Below are 11778 nucleotides of genomic sequence, written 5' to 3'. Positions count from 1 at the left end.
CAAATTCAACCTTCTACACAACCTGTAAGGCAGGTGTTATTATCATTAGCCCCATTTTTATAGATGGGGAAACAGAGGCATGCCCAGTATCACACAGCCAGTAAGAGGCAGATCCAAGGAGTCAAGCCAGTGCCATCTAGCTCCAGATTCCCAGTGCTATGCTGACACTTAAGCCAAAATTTATCTGTCACCCTCCCAATCCCTTGATCACAAGGTGAGGCTTCTCTTTGCCAGAACAACTGAGACAAAGTGAAGCTCCCATCCTGCTCCCCAGATCTTTACCTCTCTGGGCCACAGTCTTCTCATCTATAAAATGAGGATAAGATACTAGGAGGGGTTGAGGGTCCGGAAAGGTTTAATGAGACAGCTTGTCAGTGACCAGCACAGGGTAGGTCCCCAGCAGTGGCTGCTTCCTTCTCTGTAGTCTAACCATGAGCCTTCCTGCTGTGCCTTCCTGCACTGCCTCTTAATTCTGCTTTCAAAGGAGCTAGCGGCAGTGATTCTCGCCCCTTAAAGAAACTCTCAGGAGAGCATTGTTCCTCATTCATTTGTCCAAATTCTCTCTCTTCCTCTGGGAAACCCTGAAAAAGAGGGATAATAAAGCTGAACTGGAGCCCCAACCTGCTCTGTCCCCACCTCCTCTGCACCCAGGTGAGCCAGTCAGGGTGGCAACAGAAAATAAATGACACATTCGAGAGGGTTTCACTGAAGGGTTTAGTGATTTGACAGTTTCTAAAGGCATAGACCAGATGAAGAAAACTAATCCTGGTGCTAGTGTGGCACCAGGATAGAAATATCTCTACCAAAGCCCAATGCCAACTGGGCTCACGGGACACAAGAGAGAGGCCACTCAGCAAAGCTGTGACCATGGAGGAAACACAACCACCACCAGAGCTTCAAGCAGGCAAAAAGGGGGGCTGACAGGGAATGGAGGAAACAAATACCCTGACTCCTCTCTCCCCCTTCTCAGCCGGGAACTCTATTGGCCGAGAGATCAGGGGGCCCATGTGACACAGTCTGCAGAGGTCAGCCTCCCTGGGCAGAGCAGCACAGAGAACACAGTGGGGCAAACAGAAAACCATCCCCGTCCCATCCCACCCGTGAGTCCCTGCTCTGATACCAAAGCCTCCTCTCTGCTGCTTTATTGCCACCACTGTCACTGCCTGCAGCCAAACAGTGAATGACAGGGAAAGAGAGTCAAGACTCCTTCAAGCAAATACTCCAGCTCACAAGGGAGGTGGGATCCAGGCAGAGGGCAGCTTGAGGGAAGAGGGCTGTGTCTGAAGGACGGCAGAGCAGGGACTGCCCACTCTCAGCATGGAGAGACAAAGAGAAGGACCGCACTGGGGTGAGGATGTCAAACGGTGATAGTAAATGACTCTCTTTCCTCAGCATATGATGCAAATCACTGTGGATCTTCCTTCCTCCTCCCCTCTCTAGACCGGGAGCCCCTGTGGGGAAGGGATGTTGTCTTGTTCTTCCTTGATATCTAGCACAGTGCCTCTTAGGGGCGTAATCAGAATTTATTGAATAAATAAGCAAATAGATATGTAAATGAATGAACAAACCCATTTGCAGCTCATATGCACAGCCCTGGGACCTGGTCAGGGAGCACTGTTGAATGAATGGCATGCAGCATTCCTACAGAAGTTTTATTTCAATCAGTTCCATCACCTACCACCTCAGGTTTCCTTTCAGCCACTCAGTCACGGGCCACACAGCCCACGTTTGTCTCCACACTGGCCAGAGGCTGTGCTTTGATAGCACCCACTCAAATGTGCAGTGACCTCATCTAGCTCCTCCTGATGGAGGAATAAGGGGAGTAGCAAGTGACTTCCTTTCTCACAGCAGCCTTTCTGTGAGCTCTTTCTTGAGAGAAATCTTGATCCATGGCAAACCGTCTGTGGTATTCTCGGCTGTAGCCCTTGGCGGGAGATGGGAGGAGGGAATGACAGTGCCAAGGAAGCAGCTGAAGGATCGTCACCCTGGGAGCCACAGCTCTGGCTTGCTTTTTCCAATGGGCCATAAAGACTGAGGGAGGCAGGCGGAAGCAGGGGCACCAGACTAACAAACTAGAGTTTCAAGTGTAGTCCCCATGCGATGCCCACCTTGCGAAGTGGTTACAGATGCTGGGGCTGGGCTCAAGATCCCTGTTCTACCACCTGCTGGCTGTACAACCTTGGGTAAGATACTTGATTACCATGCCTCAGTTTCTGCATCTTAAAAAATGTGAATAACAGTAATGCCTACTTCACATGGTGGTGAAAAAGTAGATGAGTTAATAGTTATGAGATACAGCCAGGCCTGGTGGCATGGGCCCATAGTCCTGCTACTCAGAAGGCTGAGGTGGAAGGATTGCTTGAACCCAGGAGTTCAAGACCAGCCTGGGTAACATAGCAAGACCGCTCCCCCCCTTTTTATTTTGAGATGGAGTTTCACTCTTGTTGCCCAGGCTGGAGTGCAATGGCATGATCTCAGCTCACTGCAACCTCCACCTCCTGGATTCAAGTGATTCTGTTGCCTCAGTCTCCGGATTCCAGGGATGAACCACCACACCCAGCTAATTTTTGTGTTTTGCATTTTTAGTAGAGATGGGGTTTCACCATGTTGGTCAGGCTGGTCTCGAACTCCTGACCTCAGGTGATCTGTCCACCTCGGCATCTCAAAGTGCTGGGATTACAGGTGTGAGCCACTGCGCCTGGCTGCAAGACACCCATCTCTCTAAAAATGAAAGTTTTGAACTATTTAGGAGAGTACATGATCCATGGTAAGCTCTATATAAACTTTGTTACATAAAATTAAGGTTCTAGTCCCATAAGCTTTTTTCTGTAATAAGCTGCTCAGCCTTAGATACCTCTCATATTTGCTGTGAGAAGTGAACAAATGCATGTGAAAACTGTAATGTGTTTATAATTTTTATTATTTGTCATCAAGATCATGTAAGAGACCTGATTTAGCAGAGGGTGAAGGGATGCAAAAGGGGCTGTCAGTCATCAACTTTTGATTATCTGCCTTGTTAAGGTCCCCTTCTTGTCAACATCATCAGCTCTTTGGCTTGTTCAAGTCTTTTGTTGACAATATCCAGGCCTCTCATGGTTCCTCCCACACACAACGGGCTACACAGCAAGGGCTGGAAGGAAAAAACCTTTGAAGGCAAAACCGGTCCTTCCCTTCCTTAGCCTTGAAGCGGGAATAACCACTAGACAGAAGGCTGTGAGGGAGGACTCAGGCACTTCCACTGTGGCTGCTGTGCCTTTGGGCAGGAGGGGAAACTGATCAGCTCCCTCTGTGGTAGGGCCGCAGGAAGAGATGTTGGCATTTGTTATGAAGTGCTAGGAATAAAAACACATACATGGCCGGGTGCAGTGGCTGACGCCTGTAATCCCAGCACTTTGGGAGGTCGGGGCGGGCGGATCACAAGGTCAAGAGTTTGGGACCAGCCTGGCCAACATGGCGAAACCCCGTCTCTACTAAAAATACAAAAATTAGCCAGGCGTGGTGGTGGGCACCTGTAATCCCAGCTACTCAGGAGGCTGAGGCAGGAGAATCACTTGAACCCAGGAGGTGGAGGTTGCATTGAGCTGAAATCATGCCATTGCACTCCAGCCTCGGCAACAAGACCAAAACTCCATCCCAAGAACAAACAAACAACAACATCAAAAAAAAACAGAAAACAAAAAACAACAAAAAAAACCCATACACACATACTTATCCCAGTGTCCAGAGCAAATGTTCTGCCACTTACTGGTATGGGTGTGATTTCAGATAGCTACTTAAACCCTGGGTTTCGGTTTTTCTCATCTTCAAAATGGAAATATTGATGCCTAATTCAAAGGGTGAAAATTAATGAACTATAGAAACCCCTTGGTGTATGTCTGGTCCAATAAATGGTGGCTCTTTTTAGCTAACATTTTGTAATATCTGCCCACTATCTCCTCCAAGGGATGGAGAAGTAATGCTGACTTCCAGACTAGGAAAGGTAGCGGTAGCAGAAAGTGATTTACAACTCGACATTTTTCACATTTTCTTTCCAGAGCACATAGTAAGTTCTTGTTAGTTCATTCATTCATTGAACAGTGTTTAGAAGTTTGAACAAGCTTGAACAACTTGCCATCATTTTGCTCACTTGTATTCATCTTACTCTCACCACTAGAACTGCAAGGTCCATGAGGGCAGAGGCAGTGTCTGTTGCTGGGTGAGTGACTGAATGGACCTCAAAGAATGTCTGAAGACTGAAATGGGCCAGGCAAGGAGATGGAAACTGGAGGCCTGGATTCTGGGCTCAGTCATACCTCCAAGAACATAACTTTCCCTCAACCCTGGAGTCTTCACAGACCTTCCTTCCACTGTGAGGCACTGGATAATCACTTGATACCAGACTCAGGAACTCTTCCCTGATGGGAAGACATTCATTCATCCACTCCATGTCTCTGAAGCCCCAAGAGAAGGATCTGAATCCCCTAGTCTGAAGAGTCAGCGAGTTTCCAACATAGCAATCATGATAAAAAGGGAGAATTGATAAAGGAGGGAGCAGCCCCAACTCAGTAACAACAGAGGGAGGAAAATTCCAGCTAGTACATGTACTTAATATGAAAGCAGACATGTGCCAAGACCCTCCTTTCATGGGTACTAGGTGTTCCCAAATATAAGAAACACCCATTCTTGCCCACAGGCCTCACTGGATACTATCCAAAATGTCTAGAGAATAAGAGGAAAGAGAGAATCATAATATCCAAAAGGTGGAAACAACCCAAATGTTCGCCAACAGATGAACGGATAAACAAAGTGTGATATATCCATACAATGGAATATTAGTCAGCCTTGAAAAGGAATGAAGTACTGATAAATGCCACAACATGGATGAACCTTGAAAACACTATGCTCAATGAAAGAAGCTAGTCACAGTAGGTCTCTTATTATATGATGCCATTCATATGAAAGTCCAGAATAGGGAAATCTACAGAGACTGAAAGTACATTAGTATTGTTAAGGGCAAGAAGGAATATGGGGGGATAGGGAGGTGATAGCTAAAGGTTACAAGATTTCTTTTTGAGGTGATGAAAATGTTCTAAATTTAACTATGGTGATGGTTTGACATACCTGTGAATATACTAAAACCACTGAATTGTACATTTCAAATGGTGAATTGTATGACACATGAATTATACCTCAAGAAGGTTGTTTTTTAAAAAGACAGCGTAAGGGGTAGGGGGAAGTTGAGATGAAGCAGGAAAACTGTGATCAGAAACAAAGCTCAGGGGCTGTCTGGCCTGGTTGCCCCAAGTCAAAGCCTGCATTTCATACAGGCAATGTTAAGGTAGCCCCCAAGCCACAATTCAGAAAGATAAATTGACCCCAGAAGGTATAGGGCTGGGTCCCTTCTCCACTGAGAGCTCCCTTTCTGTGTTTTTTCTGGCACAAGAAACTCTGTCATCTTGTATAAGTAGGAGAAATTTATGGCAGTTTTCCCTCTTCTTCTCCCTGGTGGGCTACTAGGAAAGGTCCCGGGGGAGGAGGGAGCCTGAAATTCCAAAAATATAAATGTGGAAAGACTGGAGGGGGTCGAGGAGTCTCTTTGCCTGCCTTGACTCTGGCCCCAGCTCTCCTTTCCCTTTGCATGTTTGACCATCTGGGTGATGCAGAGGGTAGAGAGCTGGTGCAGCCCGTTCTCTCTGCAAGCCCAAAAGAGATGGTTCCCAAAGCAGATATCCGACAGGAGGGGCACAAGGGAAATCAAGAAAATAGGCTTGGCTGTCCCATGAAATTATTGGAGGAGACACAGACCACTGCCTTCCTTCTTGGATTTGGCTATTTTTGTACTTCCCTGTTTGTTCAGGCAGCCTGATACAGTGGGAAGAAAACTCGTCCTAGATTTAGAAAGATTGAAAGAGAAACTAAGTGTGTGACCTTAAGCAAGTCATATCTTCTCTCCGGGCCTCACCTGTAAAAAGAGGGAGGGGACTGAATTTATCAGGGGTTTTCAAATGAGTTTAACTCTGGGGTCCTTCCTTCAAATAAAACCGTATGTAGTGACCCAACATGAACACGAGTAGTAGCCTGCTGAGCTTCTTGAAGGTAGGAATGGGAGTCAGGTCCCTGTTGTGACTGTTAAGAGGCTTGTCCAAGCACAAGATGATCTCCATGGCCTTTCCAGCCCTGTCCTCAGGAGGGATTTGCCCCCATGGTGAAAAGGCTCAGTTCTGCACATCCAGTGGGCTTGAAATCCAGCTCCACTCCCTCCTGTGTGTCCCTCAGCACATAACTTACCTTCCTTGAACCTGTTTCCTTGTGTTTAAATTGGAATAATAGTAACACGTATCTCAGAGGATTGTCACATAGATTACACTAAATAATATGCATAGAGTCCTTGGCATACTATCTGGCCCAATAAATATTATTATAGTTATTCCGTGATCTGATGTAATCAGTTTTTTATTTTGAGACAGAATCTCATTTTGTAGCCCAGACTGTGCACAGTGGCATGATCTCGGGTCACTGTAACCTCCGCCTCCTGGGTTCAAGCAATTCTCCTGTCTCAGCCTCCCAAGTAGCTGGGATTAAAGGAGTGTGCCACTGTGTCCAGCTAATTTTTGCATTTTTTAGTAGAGATGGGATTTTACCATGTTGGCCAGACTGGTCTTGAACTCCTGGCCTCAAGTGATCCGCCTGCCTCAGCCCCACACAGTGCTGGGCTTACAGGCATGAGCCATGGCACCTGGCCTGATATAATCTTTTTAATTTGAAAAATCTGGTGTGAGAAGGTAAATTGGAAAGGATGACAGCAAAACTGCTATAACACAAAGGCCCCAAAACACAGTAGCATATAGAAAACAGAAGTTTATTTCTCACTTAGTCTTGGAGGAAGCGGTTCCAGACAGCAGGCAGCTCTGTTCCTCCTAGTCAGTCAGGGATGTGTGTTCCTTTCATACCTTTGCTTTGTCTTCTCTTAGGGATGTCTTTTCAGTTGCCTGGTCAAACCTGTCTCAGGCACATCTGCCCAGCTCATGAAAGAGAGAACACAAAGGAGAATTTACCCAATCCATCAGGCTTTGAGGACATGCTCACCTCACATTCCCCTGTGTCTACACCTGGCAATAAGAGCAGCTGGGAAATGGAGTGTCCAGCTGGGTGTCCCTCCACCCTCGTGCTGCAAGGAAAGAAGAGATTTTAGTGGATAATGGGCAGTCTTAATCCAGGGCTCAAACCCACACCTGAGCTGTCCTCTTCCTCTTCTCTTCCCAAAGGAAGGGAAATAAAGTCTACAGCCCAGAAAACAATGTGACCACCCATCCCCTACCCAATCAGGTCCCTGCCATTCATCCCAAGATCAGCTGTCTTTCTTGGGAAAGTGGCTTGGAAGCCTCTCTCCAGAAAGACCACCATTCTGTCCATCTTCTTCTCATGGGTGGATGCGAGAAAAGTTTCTGTCCCCACTGCCTGCTTGCCACTCCCTGTCTCAGTTTCAGCTCACGCTCTAGCCCTTTGTTCCCAGTCACCAAGAGTGACTACAAATGCGGGGGAACAGGAGGACTTGAAACAGTCATGGAAATCGAGACTGGGACACAGAAGCCATGCTCAGAGGCAGCGTAGGTGAGGGTTCTGATGCCAGGAAATCCAGCTACTACTGTGTAACCTAAAGCGGGGATTAAGCTCTCAGAACTTCAATGAACTCTTTTGGAAATAGGGATAAGAAACCCACTTGTCAGGGCTGTTGTGAACATCAAATGTGATCATGTATGTACCCAGTACATAGTATGCCTTCAATAAATGGTAAGGCAAACCCAAGGCAAATTGAATTCATGTCCATTACTCTGACCCAGCCTTTGCATAAATTCTTTTTTCTTCTCCTTCCTTGTCAATGCATGGCTCCCTCCCTCTTCTTTACTTCCTATCCTCATTCTCCTACCATCTGAACCCTGATGTGGAATCTCTTTCCTCAGGAAATCTTCCATGATTGAAACATTCCTGCTTGGCCACTTCCCACTCCAATACTCTATCTTTGCCCATCTTACATCTACCCCATGGTCCTGGCCCAAGTTTACACGTGTCCCATTTCTCCCTTCAAAAAGCATGCAGCAATGGAAGGGCTTTAAGTTTGCCATCAAGCAGATCGGAGTTCAGATGCCAACTCTGCCAAGTTCTAGCTTTAGGACTTTGTCAGATCACTTCCCCTCTTTGAATCTCTGTCTTCCCAACCCTCTGGAGAGGTCAAGTGTGTGTGGGCTGGTACATAAAGGATATTTAATCTCCTCTGCTCTACCCAACCTCCCCCAACTCACACTCCCAGGACTAACTCTCTACTAAAGGGAGTTATTAGACCAAGAAAGTAATTCTCCCATTACCAGCCCCACCCCAACCCAAGAGCTAGAGCAGAGGAAGGACTTGGATATCCCAGATTCCAGGGTTATAGGATCTCTCCCCAAGCCCTCATATGCAGCCCCAGTTGCAGGACTAGCTTCAGGGATAAGAGTGAAAGAGTTGATCTGATTCCAATCTTAGCCTGTAAGTAGTAGCTCACCTGTGCCTCTATTTTCAACCTTCCTAGATCAGAAGAGCAACAATATCAGTGACAACTAATGCTTACATAGTGTCTCCTATGGGATGGGCATTGTTCCAGGCTCTTCGTACATATAACTCATTTAATCCTGACAGCAGCCTTTGAGCTAGGTACTATTAACCCCGTTTTACAGACAAGGAAACTAAAGCACAAGGGGTTAAGTAACTTGCCTAGGTCATACAACTCACATAAGGCATGACTGAGATTCAAAACCAGGCCGTCTAGCTCCAGAATCCATCCTGTTAACCACTCTGCCATAAAAAGAGCTAACATTTACTGGCAGGTTCTATGTGCCAAGCACTGTGGAAAACACATGGCATGTATTTCCTCTAATTCCAAATAACCCCCTGAGATAAGTTCTATTATTAGTATCCCTGTTTTACAGGTCAAGAAACTGAGGCAGAGAGAAAAGTTAAGCAACTTGCCCTGAGTCACACAGTTAAATATTAATAGTTTCAGAACTCCTGGCTGTTTTGCCTCAAATCCCACCTCCCCACCCCTGCTCAAAGCCCCTCCCCTTCTAGGTGTGTTGTTTAGTTCCTATCACCAGTTCTTCACAAATCGGCTTTACCCCCCACAGCCTACAACCCTTGTCCTCCAAAACTCTTGTTGACCTCCGTCCCTTTCCCTTCCCACTTTCTCCCTAGACCCTCTGCTCCCCACAAAGTCCCCCAAACCATTCTGTCCCTCTCCCTCTGCTCCCCACCCACCCTCCCCCACAACTCCTGCTGAAACAGATGAATTTCACCAAAAAAGACCATCAGACCTTCCCCAAGCAGACCCCCACTGTGCCTGATCGCACACCCCCAGGGGAGGCACCACAGTGGCTAAGCTGAAGAGCCAGAAATAAAATCCTCATTCTACTTCCCTGCCCTCTCTTCCCATCACTCATCTGGGAATCCAGGGCGAAGAAGGGAGCTAAAGTGCAGAGCATTCATTTAATATTAACAAATTGAAATGAATTCTTTTAATGCCAATTAACTTGGAGCAGCCCCTTATTAATAGTAATTTAGATTCATACTTGGGAGAAGCAGGGATGAGGGCTGGGCCAAATGTGCCCAGAATGTCAATGTGACTGGGGAACTGAAAGGGGAGGGGTGGCAGTTTTACTTCTGCCCAGTTGGGTTCTGTTTCCCTGAGAGAAATGGACAGTCACTGGAGGCGGATCTTTGGGAAACACAAATTACTCTTGTAAGTTTATTTTTGTTACTTCAAGGAATCTGAATAGTTTGAAGCCATGTCACACCATTTTAAGAGTTTATTTTCACAGTAATGCTAAAAAGAAGAATTTCCTCAGAGCTGGGATTTACTTCAAACTCTCTCCTAAGCCAAACCTTACTGACCAAAGGGACAAGTCCCCAGGCCAGCTCTCTACCCTTCTTTGTTCAGAGCTAGAGCCAGAGATCAATATGGAAGCCCAATTGATCTGCCCCTTCTAGCTTACCCAAAACTAAAGGGAAGAATCAACACTCTGTGTCTCTCTGAAAAGTCTCCCTCAGGAGATAAAAGATCCAAAAGGGCTGACCCCTAAGCTAACAGCTTACATTTAAGGAAGAAAAACAATCTGCCTGCACTTTTCTTAGAATTTAGGGAAAAATGAGAATTTAAAATTCAATTTCATGTATCAGAGTTCTCCAGAATACAGCCAAGTGGAAATAACTTAGTCCCAAATGAAAAAGTTGAGCAGAAATTCTGCTCTCACTTGTTTTGCCGGCTTGGAGGTCAGACTGGAGGTGTCCTGAACTAGAACCAGAGCATAGGTTCTGACCCAAGAAGGACACTGTCTACTTCCCAGGCATCCCTCCTTGGCTGGGAGGAGAGGGGAGGATGAGTCCATTGGAAGCTGAGAATTGTGGAAGCTGGGGATGGGAGTTTTGAGATGGAGGAGGCAGGCGCGTGAAGGAGGTCAGGGAAAGGCAAGTAAATCTACTAACCATTGCAGTTTATAAAACAAAAACCTTAAAAATGGTTTAACATGCAAAAGGTTAAATTTTAAAAAGAGGCCAGGTTTTAAAGAAGGTAAAATACCTCAAATTTAGACATAATAAAAATGAGGAAAATACTCAAAACATTTCAAGCAAATTGTTCTTCAGAAGAGGAGAGGTTGGAATTAATCAAGAGACCTTTTTTACACCCCCCCAAGAGTTTCCCAAACAATAAATTCATTTACAAAACAAAAAGAGGAATCAACACAAAACCTCATCCACATACAGAGAAAAATAAATTGTGGTGATTCTGTAACAGCTGAAAAACTAGTGACGGAGGATGAAAATTAATAAACTCTAAATCCATTAGGTGATATTTATAAATAGCAAAATTGGAGGATGGAATGGAGAAAGGAGTTGAACTTATCATTAAAGAAGTAACACATGTGAAAACATAAGGTGTAACTCATCCCCAAAGAAAAGTAAACTCTCCATAAAGTAGCAAGTATAGAAATTTATTGAAAAGGAGGAAAGTACCACTCACCCCCCCATATAAGTGTATTAATTTGAATTAAAATTTTCTCCAAATCCGAGATAGGTTACACAAAAGAACACAAAAAGATTTTTTTTCTTTCAACTAAGAGGAAAAACAAAATCCGATTTAAATTCACTAATGGGACAGGAAGGGAGGCTGTGGTTTGCAGGTGCTGGTAAACGGGATGAGGGTTGTGAAGAGTTTGAGGGGTAGAGGACCAGCTTACCTCGCTTTGGAGCCGCAGCGGCCAACAGGAGTGGGCAAAGGACCCTGCCAGTGCCTGAGTGATAGGGGAAATAAGGAATAGGGGATTCGGGTGCCCCTAGTCGAATGAGGAGGATGGAAAGACTGGGGGTGCCCATCTCCCCTCCTCTGCCCACCTCCCTCCCTCCGGTACCCAGGCCTAGAGAGCTACTGAAAGTTACAAATTGCTTCCATTATTAGCTCATCCCGGGCGGCCTGGTCATTGGCCAGCCCCTGGCCACGTGGCCCCTCGTACCACTCGATCGAATTTCTAGTCACAATTCTCTGTCTGTCCCTCAGCTCTGGGGAGAAAGTGGGGGCTGTGGCATGGGGGCTGAGGTCCAGTTTGGGGCGGGGTGGGAGAGGAGTCCTTGAGTATCCTGTCCCAGGGCCAAACCCTCAGAAGTCCAATCTTCAAGACCTCCTTGAGCCGACTTCCACAGATGGAGGGGGATCTTCAGGGTGCCTGCTGGGTTCTCAGGACTCCTCTTCAGATCCTAGTTTGGACCCCTCCGGGT

The 11778-nt window shown here is 46.2% G+C and overlaps 1 long non-coding RNA gene across 3 annotated transcripts; it reads right to left on the bottom strand.

Annotated features, from left to right (window-relative positions):
• Positions 1–337: 337 nt before the first annotated feature.
• On the bottom strand, positions 338–11430 carry FAM242D (family with sequence similarity 242 member D). Of its 3 annotated transcripts, NR_170273.1 has the most exons (3): positions 11244–11430; positions 6850–7001; positions 338–581 (listed from the first exon to the last, which is right to left on the bottom strand). It is a non-coding gene; the product is annotated as a family with sequence similarity 242 member D (long non-coding RNA). The 3 variants fall into 3 exon arrangements; NR_170272.1 differs by lacking the exon at positions 338–581 and having other exon boundaries at positions 6823–7001; NR_170271.1 differs by lacking the exon at positions 338–581 and having other exon boundaries at positions 6823–6993.
• Between the last annotated feature and the right edge of the window lie 348 nt (positions 11431–11778).

Source organism: Homo sapiens, chromosome 9 (assembly GCF_000001405.40).
Source record: "Homo sapiens chromosome 9, GRCh38.p14 Primary Assembly".
Taxonomy (NCBI): Eukaryota; Metazoa; Chordata; class Mammalia; order Primates; family Hominidae; genus Homo; species Homo sapiens.
The sequence above is the reverse complement of the archived record's forward strand: the minus strand, read 5'-3'. Positions and strand labels throughout refer to the sequence as shown.